Raw genomic sequence first — 22704 nt, forward strand, 5'->3', positions numbered from 1 at the left:
GTGTCATGGATCCCGCATCGAAAACAGCCTTGAAGAGGGCCAGGAGCACGGAGGACCTGGGGAGGGCCCTGACCACTGGACACATCTGCCCTTTGCTCCTCCTTTTTGTCTCTGCTGGTGGCCCTTTCTGCTGTATTCACGCGCCCTCACCACCTCCTGTGTATTCGTGTGCTGGAGTTCAGCCGCCAAGGTGGAGAGAGACTCCCTGTCGGGGAAGGACTCCGGCCCCAATGCCTCCTCCTCCAGGCCAGGCCGCCATGGTGGGTGGGAAGAGAGGCCACTCCTAGAGAAAGAGACACTGTCAGTAGGTGTCAGGAGGTGTCCCGGGAGCTCGCCGCGTGGTAACCAACAGACACAGCCCTTCTTGGCATTCAAAGTTGCACCCTGATGCCTGTGAGGGAGTCGTGACTTTCTGTTACCACTGACCCAGGGCAGAGTTTTAAACAGTGACCTTAAGGCGAAAAGCTCCAGATCTCGTTACTGACCAGTGCAGCCAGCCACTGCCTTCCTTCCTTTTTGATTCTAAAAATGACACTCGGGTTTTAGAGGGTTGCTTTTCAGGCAGCCGAAATCCCCGCATGCACCTTCTCGTACATTTCAGGAGAGAAGAATCAAGTCCATCCACGGTATCCTTGCCCAGGTACCGGTATCCATCAGAGCGTGATTGGGGTTTCAGCAGAGCCAGGCCTGCTTTTCCTGGCAGAGGCTGGGCCCCTTTAGATTTTTCTTGTAGATTTTGCTTGAGCCTCCCAGCCCTTCCTTGCTCAGCACCTGTGACCCACTGGGTCACAGTGACCCACATCCCATGGCTCTGACCGCAGCTGGACTCATCTCACACTCACGTTCATCACGGCTCCCAGAAGGCACGTGTTTTTAATGAGAGGCTCATTTCCACCACTGCCCCCCAGCCCTCCGCAGCAAGCCAGTGCAACGCCAGGACAGTCTGCTGACAGGGGAATTGGAGACTGGAGGGAGCAAGTTTTACCTTTTTGGTTTGACCATTTAAATTGAAGTCATGCATACAGGGAAAGTTATGCATATAGAAAAATGTACACTTCATACTGCGTGCATTCAATTAATTTGCGCCAAATGAATGCACCCGTGTCCCCTGCACCCAGATGGAAAATGCCACCAGCACCCTTAATAGCCCCCACCTGGACCCCTGAATTGGAGTGAATTTTGAAAGAAGAGGGAAAGAAAGTGACATGTCCCAATTAGAACATATGGGACAGGCACTTTCTATACTGTCCACCTTGCCCCAGATTCTTTTTCTTTTTCTTTTTCTTTTTTTTTTTTTTTTGAGACGGAGTCTCACACTGTCGCCTGGGCTGGAGTGCAGTGTCATGATCTCAGCTCACGGCAACCTCCACCTCCCAGGTTCAAGAGATTCTCCTACCTCAGCCTCCCGAGTAGCTGGGATTACAGGTGTCCGCCACCATGCCTGGCTAATTTTTTGTATTTTTAGTAGAGACGGGGTTTCACTATGTTGGCCAGGCTGGTCTGGAACTCCTGACCTCGTGATCCACTCGCCTCAGCCTCCCAAAGTGTTAGGATTACAGGCGTGAACCACTGCGCCCGGCCCAGATTCTTTTTTTTTTTTTTGAGATAGAATCTGGCTCTGTCACCCAGGCTGGAGTGCGGTGGCACAATCTCACTGCAACGTCCACCTCCCTGGGCTCAAGTAATGCTCTCACCTCAGCCTCCCAAGTATCAAATTCTCATTTTAAAAATTAAGAATCAGACCCAAAAAGAACAAATGACTTGACCATGACTGAGGCCACAGAGCCGAAAATGTCCCCATCCTGGAGTCTTACTGTGGCACACTCTCATCTTAACCACACACTCTAGTTTTATCCTCTCTGTGTCTTTCATAGATTATCAGGAAGCGAAATAACCTGTTAATATTTTCAAAAGTTCTTATGAAATGTGAAGTGCTGTATAATGATTAAGATAGAAAGGAGAAACTAGGAAACGAGAGCTTTTAATCCTAGCTTACAGGAAATTCTAACTAGTAGGAAATCTAATTCAGGCAGCGCTGGGAAACATCACAGGCTATGAGATGAAAGTCAGCTAAATTGGGATCTAATTCTATAATCTAAATATAGATGTAGATATATTACAGGTTGGCCTTTTCAGCTGGAGAGAGTATCATTCACTCCAAAAGTGCCTTTTGTATCACAGAGAAGAGCGCAGCCAGGGGTGATATCAGCTGAGGAAGGGGGCGGGCAGCTTGGCGTGAGGGGCTTTCATTCATTCCTTAGTCATCTCTATTTTCTTAAATTTTATAGTAGGAATTATTTGTGCGTTGTATGTATAATAAACACATGGAAAAGACAAGAGCGAGGAAGGCATCTCAGGAGTGTTTTTGGGAAGGAGGCTGTCATGGCATGTGGGCAGAGGGAGGTCTGGGAATGGGATTTGCTGGGTCAGAAAGATGTCCATGTTCTTTGCCAATTTGGCATCAGAAATGGCCCACACCAGCCAGGTGTGGTGGCTCATACCTCTAATCCCAGCACTTTGGGAGGCCGAGGTGGGTGGATCAACTGAGGTCAGGGGTTCGAGACCAGCCTGGCCAACATGGCAAAACCTCATCGTCCCCACTAAAAATACAAAACTTAGCCGGGCGTGATGGGAGGTGCCTGTAATCTCAGCTGCTCAGGAGGCTGAGGCAGGAGAATCCCTTGAACCCGAGAGATGGAGGTTGCAGTGAGTCGCGATTGTGCCACTGTACTCCAGCCTGGGCAACAGAGCAAGACTCTGTCTCAAAAGGAAAAAAAAAGAGAGAGAGAGAGAGAAAAGAAAAGGCTCACGCCTGTAATCTCAGCACTTTGGGAGGCTAAGGCAGGAGGAGCTTGAGACCAGCCTGGGCAACATAGTGAGACCTCCTTATCTCTACAAAAAATGAATTTTTTTTTTTTTAATCAGCTAGGCATGGTGGCATGTGCTTGTAGTCCCAGCTACTCAGGAAGCTGAGGTGGGAGGATCACTTGAGCCCAGGAGTTCGAGGCTGCAGTGAGCTATGATTGTGTCATGTACTCCAACCTGGGTGACAGAACGAGACCCCGTCTCTAAAAGAAAAAAGAAAATGCCTGTTTCAGTTGTCACTCCTCACCAGTGAGGCATGGGAGTGTTCTCTTCCTCCAAACCTCACTAACCCTGGATAATGGCATTGTGATAAATTTTCCACTGGTCAAAAAATATATATTGCCTTAAACTCAAAACTCGTCCATCAACAGTGAGGTTGGCTGTCTTTCCGTGTGTTTGTTAGCCAGTGGTATCTCCTGTGTAAATTACCTTTTGACATCCTTTGTTTATTTTGGTTGGTCTTTTACCTCGTCGTCATCTTACTCACTTTTAAAGAGCATGAATTAAGGCCGGGCACAGCTGCTCACGCCTGTAACCCCAGCACTTTGGGAGGCCAAGGTGGGTGGATCACCTGAGGTCAGGAGTTCCAGACCAGCCTGGCCAACATGGTGAAACCCCGTCTCTACTAAAATTAGCCAGGCGTTGTGATGGATGCCTGTAATCCCAGCTACTTGGGAGGCTGAGGCAGGGAGAATCACTTGAACCTGGGAGGTGAAGATTGCAGTGAGCCGAGATCACACCACTGCACTCCAACCTGGGCACAGAGAGAGACCCCATCTCTAAAACAAACAAAAAACCACAGTATGAATTAATTATTTCTCTCTTACATGTTGTAGAAATTTTTCCCAAATCTACCATTCATTTTGTAAACATAAACTATATTTCTGTACTCTCTTATAGTAATTGTAGATTTCTAGTGTTTCACTTGGTTTTTGAATCGACAACAGTTTTGTGTGTAGGGTATTGTAGTGTAAGGGATCTGTTTTTTCCCCCAGGCAGATAGCTCATTTTCCCAATGCAATATTCCTTTAAATATTCTGAATAAAAGAAAATTTTAAAAATCATTTTTGAGCGATGGGAAATGTGAACCAAAAATATGCATAAGGAATTTTTGATTGAAAAACCCAGACGGGGGCAGGAGTTTGAAATGAACTTCCCCTAAAAGCCAAAACTTGTAGAGGTGGCAGCCTGAGGGCTTTCCAGAGAGCTGTAATTGACTGTTTCTCCCATCAGCCACTCTCCTCTTTCTCATAACTTTTTTGGGCAGCCATTAAAGATCTGATGACGAGTGTGAATGTGGCAGCATTTTGGCATTTTGGATGGTGGCATAATTGCACATATTGAAAAACTCTAAATTTACATCGGTGGATCCAGTGCGTCTCATTATACTGGAGGTGTGAAAACTCCATGTGCCTCTTTGAACAATTGTCCTGCTCTGTCACAGTTCAGGGGAAACAAAAGTAGCTCCAACTTCCCGAGATTTAAATTTGACTTTATTCCATTTAGTTGATATTGTAACTAGAATTTGAATAGTCTTTTCCCTTTCTGATTTTTTTTTTTTTTTTTTTTTTTTTTTTGGAGATGTAGTTTCGTTCTTGTTACCCAGGCTGGAGTGTCGTGGCATGATTTCAGCTTGCTGCAATCTCCACCTCCCAGGTTCAAGCAGTTCTCCTGCCTCAGCCTCCCAAGTAGCTGGGATTACAGGTGTGTACCACCACACCCGGCTAATTTTTGTATATTTAGTAGAGATGGGGCTTCACCATGTTGGCCAGGCTGGTCTTGAACTCCTGACCTCAGGTGATCCTCCCGCCTCGGCCTCCCAAAGTGCTAGGATTACAGGCGTGAGCCACTGCACCCAGCACCCTTCCTGATTTCCATTTCCGCTTTTATCTCTCCACTCCCGAAGATGTATCAACCCACAAGGAACTTCCTTCCAGCCCTTACTTAAAACATTGCTCTTTTTCCAGCTCCAGATATTCCCTACATTGGCTGCCACTCCTCCTTGTCTCTGTTCAGTCTTGGAAAATTGGTTTGGTCCAAGCTGAAGCTATTCTTTGAAGAAATACCATTATTTTTAAATAAAAGGATTCCCCAGCCTGGACAGTGTAGCAAGACCCCATCTCTACCAAAAAATCAAAACTTTAGCCAGGCATGATGGTGCACACCTGTAGTCCCAGCTATTTGGGAGGGTGATGCAAGAGAATGGTTTGAGCCCAAGAGATCGAGGCTGCAGGTTAGCTATGATCGTGCCACTGTACTCCAGCCTGGGCAACAGAGTGAAACCGTGGCTCAAAATAAATAAATAACATAAAAAGATTCTCCTTTGAGAGAATCGCTTGAACCCAGGAGGCAGAGGCTGCAGTGAGTCGAGATTGCACCACTGCACTCTAGCCTGGGTGACAGAGTGAGACTCTGCTCAAAAAATAATAATAATAAATAAATAAAAAAGATTCCTCCTTCCAGGAGCCAAGAACTAGGAATTTCAAGCTGCAATCTTGCTTTTTAAGCATGGTTATATATGGGGGGTCAGCAGAATGTGTGAAAATTATTGAAAAGTAAAGCATGAGATGTGACTGAGCTCTTGAGAGCAGACCACTTTCCCCTTCTTAAAACGTTTTTTTTTTCCCTGACCCCTGTCTGAGATACAGGCTCTCCTGGTTCGGCCCACCTTGCCCATCACTCTGCTGGGTCCCCACTCGCGCCCTGCACCTGAGGTTAGAGGGCACATAAGTCTCGGGGACCTGCCCTTTGATATCTACAAGACCCTGTCCTCAGGGGATCCCATCGACTCTCGTGGCTTAAAATACCATCCACAGAAGGATGGCGTCTATATTTATATTAACCCAAATATTCAACTGAATATTCAACATCTCTACTTGGAAAGACATCTCCGGCTTCACATGGCTTCAAAAGAGAACTGTTGACCCCTCCCACACACACCGCCTGCACCACCAATCCCAGTCCCCCTGTCACCTCGGGAAATGGCGTCACCACCCAGGGGCTGCTCAGGCTAAAACCTAGGTGTGCCCTGGGGCTCCCCCTCCTCTCCCCCGACATGCCTGGTCCACCAGCAAGCCCGTCCTTCCTCCTGGATACACCTGGGCTCCCAGCTACACGCTGTCACCTTGGCCCAAGCCACTGTCATGGCCACCCCACCACCACTTCCGTTCTTGGCTGCCTTCTGTCCATTCTCTTTCCCCAGCGGCCTCAGTTTTATTTCTAACGAATGCAGTTCAGATCTTTCCGTCTCCCTGCTAGACCCTCTGATGTCTTTCCATCCAACCTTCCACATTCTGTGACCCCACGTCGCCCTCACTGGCTGGGCCACGGCCCCTCTAGCCCCGGTCTTCACCCTTGAACCTGCCTAGCCTCTGTCCTCCTCCTCTGCGCCCCGTGGCTTCTTCCACTTTCTTCCACCTGGCTCACCCGGAATTCCAGCTACTTGTGCTCTTCCTGTCACACATTGCCTGGTGTGTCATTTCCATCTCTGTCTACCTTTCCCTCCTAGAATGCCATTCCCATGAGAGCACTTTCAGGCCACTTCACGGCGTACGTCCAGCCCCAGGCACAGAGCCCGGGGTATCATAGGTGCACAGTAAACATCTGTTGATGGGCTGGCTGGATTCTATGTGGGAAGCATAATGACCAGTGGTCACAAATTACTGGGGCCAGAGGGGCGCTGCCTGGTGTTAACCGCCTGGTGCCTGCCCTACCTTTAAAGCCAAGAGTGTCCATTTAATGAGCAAGAAGCAGAAATCCTGGGCAAGCAGTGCAGATGTAGGCTCTCGGGAACATGTTGACCACTCAGAAAACCTTCCAGGAGGTGAGTACCAGGAGATGGAGGTGCTCTAGACTGTGATGCTGGGAAAGGATTGTGGGCTAGAAAAAGGGCTCCCTAGGGCCGGCATATGGGCCACTGGGTGGAAGAGGGGCTCTGAGACCCTCACCCTGGAGCAGGTCATCACCCACACCGAAGGAATGAAGCGTGAATTCGGTCACGCTTAAAATGTTGAATTGTTGGCAAAAGCCCAAGTTAATGAAATAGCATGGAAAATGGATGTGATGAGATTTTTGAATTGTAATTAGATTAACATTGTCACTAGTTATCAGTCTGATATATCTTATAAATCAAACGTTGGGTTGATTTATCTTTTATCACTTCTAGGGACTTACTCCTAACAGTAACTCACAAACCAGCCCCAAATCAGAGCTGGTAGGATGGGCTCCCAGCTATCTTTAGGAGGTTTGTTGGTTTGGGGAAGACAGCTCCCCCTTGGCAGGGCTCAGGTGTTTTCTTTCTTTTTTCTTTTTTTTTTGAGACGGAGTCTTGCTCTGTCATCCAGGCTGGAGTGTAGTAGCACAATGTCGGTTCACTGCAACCTCCACCTCCTGAGTTCAAGCAATTCTCATGCCTCAGCCTCCCGAGTAGCTGGCACTACAGGTGCCCACCACCATGCCCAGCTAATTTTTGTATTTTTAATAGAGATAGGGTTTTACCATGTTAACAGGCCAGGCTGGTCACGAACTCCTGACCTTAGGTGATCCACCCGCCTTGGCCTCCCAAAGTGCTGGGATTACAGGCGTGAGCCACCGTGTCCGGCTGGGTGTTTTATTTCTTCGTCTGTTATTCAGGAACTTTGTTTCCAGCGCTGTGAGTATGAGTACAGGCCCAGGGCTGGGTGACAGAGTGCGGAGAGCGGGGCCCTACCCTTGAGCTGTTTCTGGAAGGGCTCCCAGCCAGCACCGGGCTTAGGGAGCAGTGCCCTGCAGTGTCATTCTGGGCCAGGGAGGTTGTGATGAATATTATTCTCAACAGAGGGTCCCCAGGGCAGTGATGCCACTACTCAGGATCTTACAGAAGAAGAACCTTCAGGCTGGGTGTGGGGGCTCACACCTGGAATCCCAGCACTTTGGGAGGCCAAAGTGGGAGGATTGCTTGAGCCCAGGAGTTCGAGACCAGCCTGGGCAACATAGCAAGACCCTGTTTCTCCAAAAAAAATGTTTAAAAAGTAGCTGAGCATGGTGGCATGCACCTGTGGTCCCAGCTACTGGGGAAGCTGAGGTGGGAGGATTGCTCCACCCGAGAGGTCGAGGCTGCAGTCAGCTGTGATTGTGTCACTGCAGTCCAGCCTGGGCGACAGAGGGAGACCCTGTTTCCAATTAAAACAATAAAAATCTTCATTTTGAAGAATCTGACCAGTTCTCTACCTGGCACTTGAGTGAAAAATGACACAATCCAAAGTAGGTGGCAGATTGGTTCTCACTCAGGCAGACCCTGGAGACACCTCTCCCGCTTCTGACTCAGGGGAGAGTGCGGTGACATAAACCACCTTCTTCTGCTCTAGGCCAGCTTGTAACTGTTCAGCCAGCCAGCCGTCTCCTAACTCTGTGACCCCCGGCCCAAGAACAGGGCTCCTGAAGGCCCCGAGAACCAGCCCGCCGTCCGCACGGATGTACCTGGAAGCCACAGTGCCCCACACCCCGTGGGACTTTCTCCCGAACACAGCACCTGCGCTTCCTGACTCCTCTCTCTGAATCTGGCCTTTGAGTTCAATGTCCTGGGAACTTAACTCTAGGGATGCTCTTTCCCCCTTTAGCTACCGAGTCACATGCTGCGTCTTTGGAAATTTCAGGCAATATTTAGTTTGGTGCAAAAGTCATTGTGGTTTTTGCAATTAATTGCAAAAATAATAAATGGAAAAATGAATTTGTGGACATCAGGCTTGCCTAGGGAGATGACCTAGGGAGAGGCCTCTTTTGGCATAGCTCCTGAACAGGGAGAGGTCCTGACATGAATACCCCCCGTTTTGTGAATCCTGAGCCAGTACTGTGTCCCCGGCCCCCTCCTCCCCCAACCTATACACACGCCTCACTTTCCCTTGCAGGACGTTTTCTACCACAGTTCCTCTCTCCTGACATAGTATGTGTTTGTTTCTTACTTGTCTTGCCGCATGAGGATGTAAGTTGCCTGAATTCAAAAACATGTCTTCTTTTTTGTGAATGAAAGAGTGGCTGGCATGTAGCAGGTACTGAAATTATTTGTAGAGTGAATGATAAATCTCAGTTCAGGGCACTCAGTGTGGCCTGGGCTACGTGGAATAGCCAATTGGTGGCCACAGAGAGTGGCCAGCCATTCCCAGGCTGGCAATGTGAGTCTTAGCCACTCTCTTTTACAGATAATGTGCTTATTAAAATGATATCCCAGGCATTCCCCAGTGGTGTTTGAATCGTGAATGCAAATGTCAGAGGCTCTGAAGTTTAAAGTCTTTTTTTTTTTTTGAGACGGAGTCTCGCTCTGTCGCCCAGGCTGGAGTACAGCAGTGCGATCTCGGCTCTGCAACCTCCGCCTCCCTGGTTCAGGCGATTCTCCTGCCTCCGTCTCCTGAGTAGCTGGGATTACAGGCAAGCACCACCACGCCCAGCTAATGTTTGTATTTTTAGAAGAAACGGGGTTTCACCATGTTGGCCAGGCTGGTTTTGAACTCTTGACCTCAAGTGATCTGCCGCCTTGGCCTCCCAAAGTGCTGGGATTACAGGCGTGAGCCACCGCACCTGGCCAGGTTTCAAGTCTTGACTCTAATAAAACCAGGGAGGTTTCGCTCAGCCACATAAGTGGGAGGGAAAATTAACTGTTGCTTTCTGTATTCACCAAGATGGCCTAAAATAAGCAAGCAGAAAAGGGAAGAAAGAAAACCAAACCCATGAGGTTGTCCAAGTCGATCTTGGCAGGTATTTTCTTGCCTGTTGATTGCTAGAGTTTCCCTCTACCTGCATTGCAGGCTGAAATGTATGACTCAGCCCTGACCAATAACATAGCAGTAAAAAGTAGTTTCCCCTGAGAGCTTTCTCTTCCTCCATAGCTGTGACTGCTGACATCTTCCACTGTAAGTGAGAAAAGTTGAGTGTGCCCTGCTGCCTCGTTTTTCTCACCAAGGTGTTATGAGCTGGTAGGGAAGGCCAGGAGCTAGGGCAGCAGCTTTAGAATTAGTGCAAGAGACAGGAGGACAAGTCACTGGGTCTCCTGAATTTCCTCACCTGCAAAACAGGGACAGTTTTTAAATTTCTTTTTTTTTTCTTTTTTTCTTTTTTGTTTGAGATGGAGTCTTGCTCTGTCGCCCAGGCTGGAGTACTGTGTTGTGATCTTGGCTTACTGCAACCTCTGCCTCCCAGGCTTAGGTGATTCTCATGCCTCAGCCTCCTGAGTAGCTGGGATTACAGATGCGGGCCACCATGCCCGGCTAATTTTTGTATTTTTAGCAGAGATGAGGTTTCACCATGTTGGTTAGGCTGGTCTTGAACTCCTGGCCTGAAACGATCTGCCTGCCTCGGCCTCTCAAAGTGCTGGGATTACAGGTGTGAGCCAACAGGGACTTTTTTTTTTTTATTATACTTTAAGTTCTAGGATACATGTGCACAACGTGCAGGTTTGTTACATATGTATATATGTACCATGTTGGTGTGCTGCACCCATTAACTCGTCATTTACATTAGGTATATCTCCTAATGCTATCCCTCCCCCCTCCCCCCACCCCATGACAAGCCCCGGTGTGTGATGTTCTCCTTCCCCAACAGGGACAGTTTTAATCAATCCCCTTTCTGGGTGGTGTCAGGACACCCACAGAGGTGTGGGTCTAAGCGCTTTGTGAGTGTCCACGTCCTGTGCCTAAGGAAAGCACTAGTCATTCATTCATTCACCCAACAGTTCCTGACGGCCCACCTCAACAGGAAGGAATATTATACAGCCACTAAAATGTAAAATCACCAGTGCTGTTCAGAAGGACGGAGATGTTTATGTCATTGGCTGTGTGACCAAAAGAAAAAGTTCTGCTGGGGATGTGGGATGGGCATATACGTGTTTTGAATATAAGATCTTTCTTTAATGCTGTTATATTTGGTCTCCATAAAATAATTATTCTTTGGGTGACAACCTCTTAGAAAAAGAAAGACAAAAGCAGCTATTTGCATAAACCTCAGCCCAGGTGTGGTCTCCAGCCCCAGGAAACTTCTCTAACACCCCTCCCATCCTCCCACCAGTGGTTCCTCCCTCGGTGGCATGAGGTGGTTCAGTTTTTTTCCTCTGTGCCCACCCTGGGGTGCCCTGGGCCCATGGCCACTGACTGCAGTGAACAATTATGTGTGAGTCTGTTAGTTCATTTGCATTGCTATAAAGAAATACCCGAGGCTGAGTAATTTATGAAGAAAAGAGGTTTACTTGGCCCATGGTTCTGCAGGTTGTACAAGAAGCATGACGCCAGCATCTGCTGCTGGTGAGGCCTCAGGAAGCTTCCAGTCATGATGGAAGGCAAAGAGGACTTGACATATCACATGGGGAGAGAGAGAGTGAGAAGGGGGAGGTCCCAGACTCTTTTAAACAACCAGATCTCACAAGAACTCAGAGCAAGAATTCACTCATTACCAGGAGGTGGGCACCAAGCCATTCATGAGCAATCTGCCCTCATGGCCCAAACACCTCCCACCAGGCCCCACCTCCAACACTGGGGATCACATTTCAACATGAAATTTGGAGGGGACACTAGCCGGGTGTGGTGGCATGTACCTGTAATCTCAGTTACTCAGGAGGCTGAGGCAGGAAAATCGCTTGAACCCGGGAGGCAGAGGTTACAGTGAGCTGAGATTGTGCCACTGCACTACAGCCTGGGTGACAGAGCTGAGACTGCACCACTGCACTCCAGCCTGGGTGACAGAGCAAGACTCTGTCCCCCCCCAAAAAAAAAAAAATATATATATATATATATATATATATATATATATATATATACACACACACATATATATATGTGTGTGTGTGTGTGTGTGTGTGTGTTAGGGGACAGATGTCCAAAGTGTGTCAGTGTCCATCATGGCTATTAGACTGTCAGGCATTGAATATGGGCCCATGTTTTATTTCTCTTTATTTCCTCATTGTTGAACACATGGGTGTGCCTCCTATGGATGGGACCAGTGGCTGACTCACCTTTCCAAACTTGCATCCTGATGATCTGTAAAGTGTACCCACCCTGTAAGATTGTCGTGGGACAATGTAGATAAAAACCTCGATATACAGCCTAGTACACAAAGGACGGTGTAAATATTCTCTTCCGTGCTTCGTAGATTTCATTTTTGAACGCTCAGATTGTTCTCCGGCAAAAAAAAAAAAAAAAAAAAGTGCTTGCAGTGAGAACCTGCCCTGCACTCTCAGGCGAGCTGTTGGGTGCAAGTCCTGCAGGACTGAGCTCTGAAGGCCACCCACACCCTGGGTTGTGCTTGGATGATGGCATCCCTCCTGGCACAAGCGCAGATGGGCAGTCGGGAGGGAACATCAGCCTGGGAAAACTAGATGTCAGTGAAAAATGCTGGAGGTGGCTGGCGTTCGCAAAACTCAGTCGTAAAAAACAGCACGTTCTCAGTACAAAATGAGCACTGTTAAAAATAAACCGCGCAAGAAGAAATATATGAATACGAGGGCATGGCAAACAGTTTTGCAAGGTATTAAGATCGCATTAATCTTAATTTTATTATATATTAAAGTTTCTAACTTTTCAAATAATGCAGTTTTCGTTGTTTTAAAACGTCTGAGAATTATAGAGCTATTTGGTGTGGCTCTCAGGCAAGGACTCCTGCCATTTATTGGGGCCCTGGTTTTATTTAATAGCCAGATGAATGGAATAGTTAATAAAAGAAATATTGCTTTATTCCCTGACATTTATGTCCTTGGTTTCCAATAAAGAATTGAAATTATGAATAGTTGATGGTTTAAATTGATGTTTTATGTTGAACGCTAGCTATAATTTGCCCTCTGAGGATTGTAATACCGAGAAACAGATGGTTTCTCACAGTAACAAATTGCTATGTGTATACACGCTATAGTCTTGGCTTTCAGATACTTTCACCTTTGGTTCTGAGCTGCTCTGCAGACGGGAGAGGGGGGTCGTGCGGGGAGATCAGCCTCTGGAGGAAGGGGTTTCCTGCCCTGTGGGGGAGACACAGACAGGCCCTGGGGGTTCAGGGAAACTGGGGAAATGTAGCTAGCCTGGCATGGTGTCAGTACCTGGGGCCAAGAGGAGCGTTCTGTCCACGATCATGGTGGCAGCTGCAAGGTAGTGCCTGCAGGACTGCTGTGCATGTGGCTGTTTGACACCATGCCGTGCTGCAAACTCCACATCTTCCTAGAACAACCAGGAGAATGCCGTGGAGACTTGTTGCCAGATTTTTGCAGTTGCCCTGCAGTGGAGAGGTTAAGAGCTTGGACTCCGGAGCCAGGTGGCTGGGCCACTTTGGGGGAAGTTTCCCAAATTCCCACATCTCAGTTTCCTCATCTGTAAAATGTGCATAAGAGCAAAAGCCACCACCCTGTTTTGAGGATTCAGTAAAACCATCCCTCTAACACAACACTGAGCCCAGTGCCGGGTATGGTGTCAGTGTCTGCCAGGTAATGGTGTAACGAAAATTACAAAGCAGATTGATGTGGTGTGATTCTTGACGTTACAAAAGCTTCCTTGTTTTTCAGAGGGAGTTCCCACAGGGGTTCTTTAGACAGGCAGTGCATTAAGGTTGCAGAAATTTACTTTCCAGAAGGTTTTAAAGGAACGCAGCTTCAATGGCAGCAAGGTACCTGAAACAGGAACCCTTCCAGAGTGTCTCTGTTTTGTTGGCCTTTGAGACCTGCCGCTTCTGACTGCGGGGACCTGGGCTGCCCCAGATCTGTCTGTCAGAAGCCTGGAGTTGTTAAGCTGGTGAAATTTAACACCACTGTAAAGAGCCCCTCACAGACAATTCAGGAACGCTTACAGATAGAAACCGGTCCTGGTTTTAAGGTGTAATTTTGCACAAGTGTTAACAACAAGAGATGGAATTGGTAACGAGGCACTGGGGTCGGATCTTCATATTTTTGTCACATTTCATCGGTGAGATCAGTAGGTCTGTCTCCCCTAAGAGGAGTGTGGAATTTAGTGTTTTTCCTTTTTTGGGCTGTGACCCAAGAGCTTGTTTTCAAGATATGTATTTATTTAGAATACAAGGCTCTTTTCCATAAGGAAAGAAAATGTTACAGAAATGAGCTCTCAGTTAATTGAATAAGAAACCTGTTCGTCTCATGACTCACTTAAGAGAGAGCTGGCAGCCCTTCCTGAATGCCTATTACAGGCGGCACTGTGTCCTTTTACTTAATCTTCCCAAGGAGGATGAGGGTTGCAGGCTCCCCAGGCCCATCGCTGTGTTGGTGAGTGACAGAGCCTCTGTAAAGGAATGGGGATGAGCTCTGAGCCCTTTTCCCGTGGGCTCTGCTGCCTGGAGGCATGCCCTCCCTCGGCTTGTCTTCCAGCTCTCGCACAGAACCAAGTGTTAACTGGTGGTGGTTTGGAGACGAGAGGAAATGGACCGTAAGGACCATTGAGTTGGCATAAGGAGACCAGGGCCCAACTCCGGACCCTACCAGAGCAGAGTCTTTCTCCTCTGTAATGTGAGACTGTAGAGCTCTAGAATGTTCCTTCTCCAACTCAGAGCTGATGCTGTCAGGGCCCTGCTGCAGGGTCCTTCAGTGGCTCCCTGTGGCCTGAAGGACAAGCCAGCTCCTGCCCTGGAAGCCGTGGGGATGTGGTCCTAGCCTGTGCTCCTGCCTCGCTCACCTCCCTGGAACACCAGGGCCACCTCTCTGGGCTCCTCCTGTGCCCCAGTCTGCTCCTGCCACCCCTGTCCCACCGTGCTTCCTCCCTCCCTGTGCCTCAGCTCAGGCCTTGCCACCTGGAGCTCTGACCTCGTCCGTCTTGGAATGAGGCACCTGCATGGGTAGCCCATGGGTAGAGTTGCAGTCATCTGTTTGCTTTCGATTCACTCCCGCATCCCGACACAGTGCCCAGCACATCATCGATGAATGAGTGTGGGGCAAATGCTTGCACAGAAGTCCGTGCGTGAGCCACGACGGTAAACAGAGGCGCTCCTCTTGTCCTAATGTGGAACTCCCCAAGCTACGGGAAAGGGGTGCATATGGACCGCTGCTCACTCACGGCTCAGATACTTCCACGGTAATGGGTTGGCGACAGTGACTCAGCTTCTCATAGGTTCAAGCGGAAGAAATGGTGAGTCCTGGAGCACTGCTTGCTTTGAAGTCTGTTTCAGACTAGGGTCATGTTTCAAAGTTTTTGAATTTCTTTTTTATTCAAAAGACATTTGATGAGTTGACTATTGGGGGAACCTTGACCCCGGTGACTCCGTGGGACAGGGGATACCCCCGGGGTCCCTTATAAGCCTGCTGACTCACCGCCTGTTCTCCATCTTCTGTCTTCCACATTAGAAGCAAGGGCGGGGACATTGCCTTTCCCGGCCGCTGCGGTGTCCTGGCGCAGGGCACGTGCCTGAGGGCCCTTGGTCATCCGAGGGAGGACTGCACCAGGGACATCAGAGTGCTGATCTTACAGGAAACGGCAAATGAATGGAATTGGTCTGACTCCATATTACTCCTTACTTAGATGTAAAACAAATACACATGATTTTTCATCCTAGAAGAAAGTCTAAACGAACTCTTGACAAAAACAGCCAAGTTCAGAGAAAGCTGACTCTGTTGGTGTAAGAAGCGTTTTTTCAGGCTGGGCTGCTGGCTCATGCCTGTAATCTCAGCACTTTGGGAGGCCGAGGCAGGTGGATCACTTGAGGTCAGGAGTTCGAGACCAGCCTGGCCAACATGGGGAAACCTCGTCTCTACTAAAAATAGAAAAATTAGCTGGGCGTGGTGGCGCATGCCTGTAATCCCAGCTACTTGGGAGACTGAGGCAGGAGAATCACTTGAACCCGGGAGGCAGAGGTTGCAGTGAGCTGAGATCACGCACTGCACTCCAGCCTGGGCAACAGAGCGAGAATCTGTTTCAAAAAAAAAAAGAAGAAGAAGCTGTTCTCCGTGAGTCAGCCCCGGTGTCTGATAAGTGTCTGCAGCTGACAGCTCAGAGCTGGTGTCAACCCACTTTGGAGGCTGGGGTGGGAGGCAAGAAACCCAGACAGAACCCCTCCTGGCTGCAAAACCTCCAGGCTTAACTGTGGCGCCCACTCCATGGTGGGTCTTAACTCTCCTGAAAACACTTCATGGGCTGTGGGCCTCTCGGGTGCTTCTGCGCCAGCTCTTCCTCTTCACCTCCTGCCACAGATCTGTGTCCCCAGGCTCTCCTGTGTGTCTCCCTGCTCCTCCTTTCCCTCCAGGTCCGATTCCACAGCCCTGGGCTGCCTTTCCACCTCTGCCTTCTCTGGGGTATGTCCTCGCCTCTCCTGTCACCATTGTCCTCAGGGATCTTCCAGCTTTCCAGGCATTTGGAAAGAGGCCTCCATACCTTGATGTGGCCTCCCAGGTTCCTTGCGACAGAGTCCTGCGTCGGGATACCAGGGGCTGGGCGCGGTGGTTCATACCTGTTATCTCAGCACTTTGGGAGGCCAAGACAGGAGGATTGCTTGAGGCCAGGAGTTTGAGCCAGCCTCGGCAGCATAATGAGATTCCATCTCTACAAAAAAATAAAATTTAGCCAAGTGTGGTGGCATGCACCTGTGGTCCCAGCTACTCGGAAGGCCAAGGCAGGAGGATTGCTTCAGTCCTGGAGGTTGAGGCTGCAGTAAGCTATAATCGTGCCATTCCAGCCTGGGAAACAGGGTGAGATCCTGTCTCAAAAAAAAAATAATAATAATAATAATAATATTTGTAGGGGAAGGACACTCAGATTTCCTACTGGAAGCAAGGCTTCCTCATTCCATCAGATTCTGCTCCTCCTCCAAGGCTCGGCTCAGGGGCCTGCCCCTCCATGAACCTTCCCAGCCCTCAGCCCCCTTCCTTCCTATTCCCCCAGCACCGACGTCACCTCATCCTGCCCGACTCTGTAGCATGCAGGCCTCCGTCCTCCACCCAGCTGCAGAACCGGAGACCTCAGGTGGTATCTGGTTCCACGTGTCCCCAATGGCACCTCGCCTGGAACGATGTCTGCGCCGACCAGTGATAACAATCGAAATAGCAGGCGTGGCTGACCGTGTGCCGAGGCTCGGCGTGCCGCACTGGCCAGCCGTGATTTCATCTCAGCCTCTAGCATCCTGCTGGGGTAGGTTAATAATCCCTGGATTTCTCAGATGGGAAATGTTAGGAAAGTCTGTAAGCCCCCATGGAAGGTCCCGGAGCCCAAATTCAAACCCGAGTGGAGCGTTCTGTTGCTTCACTGTGCTCTGGTGTGAATTTTAATGTAAGGCCCTGGCATTTAAGAGCTCGAAGACACCATGGAGGTGGAGAGCTCAGCCCTGTCATTGGATGGAAGCTGAGACTGGTGAGATTCTCACCGGGGCTTTTGCAGGGAGTTTGGGGGAATTTTGAAGGTGGTACAGGTGTTCTGACCCCAACACCATCTCCTCCAGCTGGGCCACACACTTATTTCCTGCTCCTACCCCCGTCCTTCCCACCCCTTGGATTCTGGGTGTACAGAAGAGTGGGCACATGCTAAGGTCAGCCCTGGGTTAGCCTCATGGACAAGGTGGGCCTGGAGCAGGAACCCGCCTGATAGAAGACACTCAAAGTCTGTCCGTACACGCTCGGTGTGGGCATCGCTTGCACGCAGGTGCAGCTTTTGCTGTGGGAAACCACTTTAAATGAATTGATAGCCTCACCACAGTGGAGCCATGGCCCGACTGTGGAGAGACTCCATTGTAGAGAAATATTTGAGTGAAAGGTTTCATGTCAGAATAGCATCTGCATGCAAATAAGAGGCATGGGCGGGTGCAGTGGCTCACACCTGTAATTCCAGCTACTTGAGAGGCAGAGGCAAGATGATCTCTTGAACCCGGGATTTTGAGACCAGCCTGGACAACATGGTAAGACCCCATCTCTTAAGGAAAAAAAAAAGGTTTAAATTAGCTGGGCGTGGTAGTCCCCGTAGATGAAGTTATTTGGGAAGCTGAGGCAAAAGGATTGCTTGAGCCCTGGAGTTCAAGGCAGTAGTGAGCTATGATTGTGCCACTGCATTCCAGACTGGGCAACAGAGCCAGACCCCATCTCTTTTGTTTGTTTGTTTGTTTGTTTGTTTGTTTTGTTTTTTTGAGATGGAATCTCACCCAGGCTGGAGTGCAGTGGTGAGATCTTGGTTCACTGCAACCTCCGCCTCCTGGGTTCAAGCGATTCTCCTGCCTCAGCCTCCCAAGTAGCTGGGATTACAAGTGCCCACCACCATGTCTGGCTAATTTCTGTATTTTTAGTAGAGATGGGGTTTCACCATGTTGGCCAGGCTGATCGTGAACTCCTGACTTCAAGTGACGCTCCCACCTCGGCCTCCCAAAGTGCTGGGATTACAGGTGTGAGTCACCGCGCCTGGCCCAGACCCCATCTCTTTAAAACAAAAAAGTACATGGGATAAATGGGGAAAACACTCTTGAGACAAGACCAAAACATACAGTGGCTGCTAAATGTCAGTGCCATGAGCCCAGGGTTCTCCTACATCCCCTTCCGTGGTCAGGGAGGACTGCTGGGCTCTGTGTCTTCTGTGATTCTCCCCTGGCTCTGAGCCCTTTGCACCTGCAACTCACAGCGCCGCTCAGGTCCCTGGGGGTAAAGTGCCATAGGATAAAAGCCACAGGAGGGTTTTGAAATGCTCTTTTCCTCTCAGATATGTATTTCCGCATCTTTACGGAGTCTCATCAACGCTTTTTAAACCTCCCCTGGGATTTGAACCAGCGCCCATAGATACAGGTGGCTTGTCAGGTCAGCTAGGTGCTGCTACTGAGGCAGCATCTGTCCCTAGCCCCGCACCCACAGGTTCAGAAGGGGAACGCTTCCCCCGGGTGGCTTATGAGATCCAGTACTTCTAGTTTCACTTCTTTAAAAATACCGTAAAAAAGAAAAAGGCTGTCAAAACACAAGCAGTGTTTGAAACGAAGCTTTGTAGGTCCCCCTACACCACCACCGTCGTGGGCAGCATAGCGGATGAGTTCTGGGACACCAGCTAAAATGTGGGCAAGAGAAGCCAGGGCGCGTAGCAGATGTGTGTGTGTATCTTTATGGGATTCAAGTCATGTCTCTGTTTTGTTGACCAACTTCCGCTAGAATTCATAGCCATCTAGCCTATGTATTGGATTTTTATTTCTGTGATGTCTGCTTCTTTTAAAAATATCAGTTGGGGCCGGGTGTGGTGGCTCATGCCTGTAATCACAGCACTTTGGGTGACCGAGGGGGGTGGATCACTTGAGGTCAGGAGTTCCAGACCCACCTGGCCAATATGGCCAAACCCTGTCTCTACTAAAAATACCAAAATTAGCTGGACGTGGTGGTGTGCACCTGTAATCCCAGCTACTCGGGAGGCTGAGGCAGGAGAATCACTTGAACCCGGGAGGCAGAGGTTGCAGTGAGCTGAGATCGCGCCACTGCACTTCAGCCTGGGGAACAGAGTGAGACTTCATCTCAAAAAAAAAAAAAAAAAAATCAGTTAGTAGCCAGGCACCATGCACACACCTATAGTCCCAGCCACTCAGGAGGCTGGAGGATCACTTGAGTTCAGGAGTTCAAGACCAGTCTGGGCAACATAGCAAGACCTCATCTCTACAAAAAATAAAAAATTAGCAGGGCATGGTGGCACATGCCTGGAGTCCCAGCTCCTTGGGGGAGGCAGGAGCATCTCTTGAGCCCAGGAGTCCGAGACCAACTTGGGCAACATAGTGAGATTCCGTTTCAAAAATATGTATCAGTAGGTTAATCTAGACTTTGTTTACATGGGCCAAGTGGCCAAGGTCACATCTTAGAGTTGTGGACTGTATAATCAGGTAAGTGTGGCTACAGTCACAGAAAGTCAGGGTAGAAAGAGGCTTGGAGGGGGGTGCACTTCTTCTAGCCAGAGCTTTCCTACTGAGCTCCTTAAAGCACAGGGGAAAGTGGGACGGGGTTGGGGGGCAACCTAAAACCCACCCCCTCCCATCTTCAACCAGTGCGACCCTGTTTTTACCTGCTCAGCAGTATTGTGCATCCCTGTAAAATTTTATTTGAAAATGGCCTTCTGCAGTTAAAACTACAAAAAAAGGTTGAAAGTGGCCAACTTAAACTCCACTCTGTTTCTTTTTTGATTGGGGAGACTGGTGTGCATAGAAGGGAGGTGTCAGCTAACGAGACTGTTACCTCACCACAGATGCCCACCCGTGGGTGATGGAGCTCCCAAGTCCTGGGCCACACCCTACGTGCCCCATGCCCAGCAAGTTGGGTGGGGGAGGGGTCAGTACATGTTTGTAAGATAAAGAAAAACATCCTTCCCAATCAGCCGTATTACCCAGAGGGTGATACTGATTTAGATCTTATTTCAGTTTGGTTAGAGAAGCTCAGGTACCAGTGAGCAGAAGTCTGGCCATTGTGGTGGCTTCTGGAAGATGATGTGCCATACTGTTAGCAGGGGTGCAATTTGGGGTGTGAGGCCACCAGAGCTTTGATTTCCGCCCCCGCCGCCCCCCTCCAACCCCCGCCCCGCCGGATTATTTGGAGTTTTTTTATTGTTGTTCATGGTAATTACCTGCTATTAGACAACAATCTAGTTCCATTTGCAATAGGGAATAATACGTCTGTGACACAGTCTCCAGACTTAGGGAGCCTCTGGCCACCCCGAGGGGGCCCTGGTCATTCTGCTGCTGGTCATGCCTAGCTCTGGGTGGCCGACTAGGTGGCCTGGGCGGGAGGGTCCACTCTTTGCCTTTATAAAAAGAAGGGCTTGGGCCAGGCGTTGTGGTTCATGCCTGTAATCCCAGCACTTTGAGAGGCCAAAGCAGGAGGATCACCTTAGGTCAGGAGTTCAAGACCAGCCTGACCAACATGGCAAAACCCCGTCTCTACTAAAAAATACAAAAGTTAGCCGGGTGTGTGGTGGGTACCAGTAATCCTAGTTACTCGTGAGGCTGAGGCAGGAGAATCGCTTGAACCCGGGAGGTAGAGGTTGCAGTGAGCCGAGGTTGCACCATTGCACTCCAGCCTGGGTGACAGAGTGTGACTCCGTCTCAAAAATAAATAAATAAATAAATAAATAAGATAACAAGGCGTGCTGGAGATGGCCACAGGCCTCCAGCAGCCGCACCATCAGAGAAATGGAGTCAGAGAGAGCTGCAGCTGCTCTGATGGGGGGTGGGAGTATGCAGGATCCTCTGGGGGTGGCTCAGGCCTCCCAGGGGAGCACTTACCTTTTCATTTCATAGTATGTCGGAGCTGCTGATGCAGGAATAAAGCAAAGTGCCTGGCACTCTGCGCGACTGCTATTTTTTCATTCATTCATATATTTGTCCTTCCTCTACACATGTATGGCAGATTAACAAAAGCACCTCCACGGCCTAGCTATGTGGCCCCCACGGGTTTCTTAGCCTCTCTGAGCAAGTTGGACAGGGCTGCCTTTTCCTCTCCCTAACTCTGACTTCTGTCCCAGCCTCTTCCATCTAATGTCAGCCCTCATCCCTGCCTGCCCCTCCCGGTGCAGACTGGGACATTCTCAGGCTGTTTGAGCCACCCCTTCATCCTCTGTGCTTTTCCCTGGCATCCTGGACTCCCTTCTCCCCTTCATGGTGCTCCTAGGCCATTCCCAGCGCTCCTGTTACTCTCTCTGTCCTCCCAGCCCCAAACCCGTCCAGCTCTGTATCCATCTGCCTGGCTGCCATTCATGCTGCAGACGTAGCACTCCCAGAGCCCATCTGTCTCCACACATTGAGGCTTCCAGCCCCCTAACCCCGGTAGTGGCCACAGTGCCCAGTGGGCCACCCCAGCCAAGCCCAAGAGTGGCCACATGGGAGCCCTTCTTCCATCTCCCTCCCCTCATCCACACATTACCAAGTCTTGCCAATTTCATCTCCTGAGGACCTCAGCTTCTGTCATTCTCTCCCCATTATACTGCAGTTGCCACCGTTATTTCTCTCCTAGACCTTGGCTGGCATTACTTGGACATTCATTTCTTTGGAATCTCTTGGCCAGCTTTGCACACCTTTAACTAGACTAAGAAGATTTGAGGCCAGGGGCAGTAGCTCATGCCTCTAATCCCCAGCAGTTTGGGAGGCCGAGGTGGGCAGATCACCTGAGGTTAGGAGTTTGAGACCTACCTGGGCAACATGGTACCCCGTCTCTATTAAAAATACAAAAATTAGCCAGGTGTGGTGGCACACGCCTGTAATCCCAGCTACTCGGGAGGCTGAGGCAGGAGAATCGCTTAAACCCAGGAGGTGGAGGCCGCAGTGAGCCAAGATTGTGCCATTGCACTCTAGCCTGGGTGACAGAGCGAGACTCCGTCTCAAACAACAGCAACAAAAAAGGAAATATGAGCTCCCTTCCCAGATCCGTGCCTCTGGACCTGGGCTGAAGGCTTCTACTCCCTCCATTGTCACCTTCGGGAATCTGCTTGTTACCTTCCTCCCAAGAATGTTCCAGAAGGTCTTGGTTTAATTTCTGGAGGGCATTCAAGAACTCAGTCATCTCACGTGTCTAGAAGAGAAACATTAAGGCCAGGCACGGTGGCTTATGTCGGTAATCCCAGCACTTTGGAAGGCTGAAGCAGGAGGACCACTTGAGCCCAGGAGTTCAAGACCAGCCTGGGCAACATAGCAAGATCTCATCTCTACAAAAAAAAAAAAAAAAAAAAATTAGCCGGGCATGGTGGCACATGCCATTAGTGTCAGTTATTTAGAAGGCCGAGACGGGGGGATCATTTGATCCCGGGAAGTGAAGGTGCTGTGAGCTGCGATCCTGCCATTGCATCCAGCCTGGGCAACAGAACAAGACCCTGTCTCAAAATTAAAAGAGAGAGAGAAACAAACATGGCAGCTCAGAAACCTGGCTGGGGGTGATTGTGGGGAACTGCTGCTGACGGGCTCTTGGGCACACCC

At 49.5% G+C, this 22704-nt stretch overlaps 1 protein-coding gene across 25 annotated transcripts in view, besides 11 other annotated features; it reads left to right on the top strand.

The window, feature by feature from the left end:
* The window catches only part of CUX1 (cut like homeobox 1), a 467952-nt gene that overhangs the window by 156480 nt on the left and 288768 nt on the right, over positions 1-22704 (top strand). The gene's annotated exons all lie outside the window — the stretch shown is intronic.
* Positions 6107-6748: an enhancer, noted in NCBI's record as "H3K27ac-H3K4me1 hESC enhancer chr7:101621873-101622514 (GRCh37/hg19 assembly coordinates)". NCBI's record gives its function as "activates a minimal SCP1, AML or CMV promoter by ChIP-STARR-seq in naive H9 embryonic stem cells {active_cell/tissue: H9 hESC(naive)}" and the evidence as "EXISTENCE:reporter gene assay evidence [ECO:0000049][PMID:30033119]".
* Positions 9276-9395: an enhancer, noted in NCBI's record as "active region_26413". NCBI's record gives its function as "activates an Ori minimal core promoter by ATAC-STARR-seq in GM12878 lymphoblastoid cells {active_cell/tissue: GM12878}" and the evidence as "EXISTENCE:reporter gene assay evidence [ECO:0000049][PMID:35858748]".
* Positions 9426-9535: an enhancer, noted in NCBI's record as "active region_26414". NCBI's record gives its function as "activates an Ori minimal core promoter by ATAC-STARR-seq in GM12878 lymphoblastoid cells {active_cell/tissue: GM12878}" and the evidence as "EXISTENCE:reporter gene assay evidence [ECO:0000049][PMID:35858748]".
* Positions 12559-13471: an enhancer, noted in NCBI's record as "H3K27ac-H3K4me1 hESC enhancer chr7:101628325-101629237 (GRCh37/hg19 assembly coordinates)". NCBI's record gives its function as "activates a minimal SCP1, AML or CMV promoter by ChIP-STARR-seq in naive H9 embryonic stem cells {active_cell/tissue: H9 hESC(naive)}" and the evidence as "EXISTENCE:reporter gene assay evidence [ECO:0000049][PMID:30033119]".
* Positions 12796-12955: an enhancer, noted in NCBI's record as "active region_26415". NCBI's record gives its function as "activates an Ori minimal core promoter by ATAC-STARR-seq in GM12878 lymphoblastoid cells {active_cell/tissue: GM12878}" and the evidence as "EXISTENCE:reporter gene assay evidence [ECO:0000049][PMID:35858748]".
* Positions 14458-15657: an enhancer, noted in NCBI's record as "CDK7 strongly-dependent group 2 enhancer chr7:101630224-101631423 (GRCh37/hg19 assembly coordinates)". NCBI's record gives its function as "activates an origin of replication core promoter dependent on BRD2, BRD4, P300/CBP, MED14 and CDK7 cofactors, with strong dependence on CDK7, by STARR-seq in HCT116 cells {active_cell/tissue: HCT116}" and the evidence as "EXISTENCE:reporter gene assay evidence [ECO:0000049][PMID:35650434]".
* Positions 14458-15897: a biological region, named in NCBI's record as "CDK7 strongly-dependent group 2 enhancer GRCh37_chr7:101630224-101631423".
* Positions 15603-15897: a silencer, noted in NCBI's record as "tiled region #5691; HepG2 Repressive non-DNase unmatched - State 15:Elon". NCBI's record gives its function as "represses a minimal TATA promoter and a strong SV40 promoter by Sharpr-MPRA in HepG2 cells {active_cell/tissue: HepG2}" and the evidence as "EXISTENCE:reporter gene assay evidence [ECO:0000049][PMID:27701403]".
* Positions 16447-17256: an enhancer, noted in NCBI's record as "H3K4me1 hESC enhancer chr7:101632213-101633022 (GRCh37/hg19 assembly coordinates)". NCBI's record gives its function as "activates a minimal SCP1, AML or CMV promoter by ChIP-STARR-seq in naive H9 embryonic stem cells {active_cell/tissue: H9 hESC(naive)}" and the evidence as "EXISTENCE:reporter gene assay evidence [ECO:0000049][PMID:30033119]".
* Positions 17152-17201: an enhancer, noted in NCBI's record as "active region_26416". NCBI's record gives its function as "activates an Ori minimal core promoter by ATAC-STARR-seq in GM12878 lymphoblastoid cells {active_cell/tissue: GM12878}" and the evidence as "EXISTENCE:reporter gene assay evidence [ECO:0000049][PMID:35858748]".
* Positions 18741-18800: an enhancer, noted in NCBI's record as "active region_26417". NCBI's record gives its function as "activates an Ori minimal core promoter by ATAC-STARR-seq in GM12878 lymphoblastoid cells {active_cell/tissue: GM12878}" and the evidence as "EXISTENCE:reporter gene assay evidence [ECO:0000049][PMID:35858748]".

The sequence above is a fragment of the Homo sapiens genome, chromosome 7, assembly GCF_000001405.40.
Source record: "Homo sapiens chromosome 7, GRCh38.p14 Primary Assembly".
Taxonomy (NCBI): domain Eukaryota; kingdom Metazoa; phylum Chordata; class Mammalia; order Primates; family Hominidae; genus Homo; species Homo sapiens.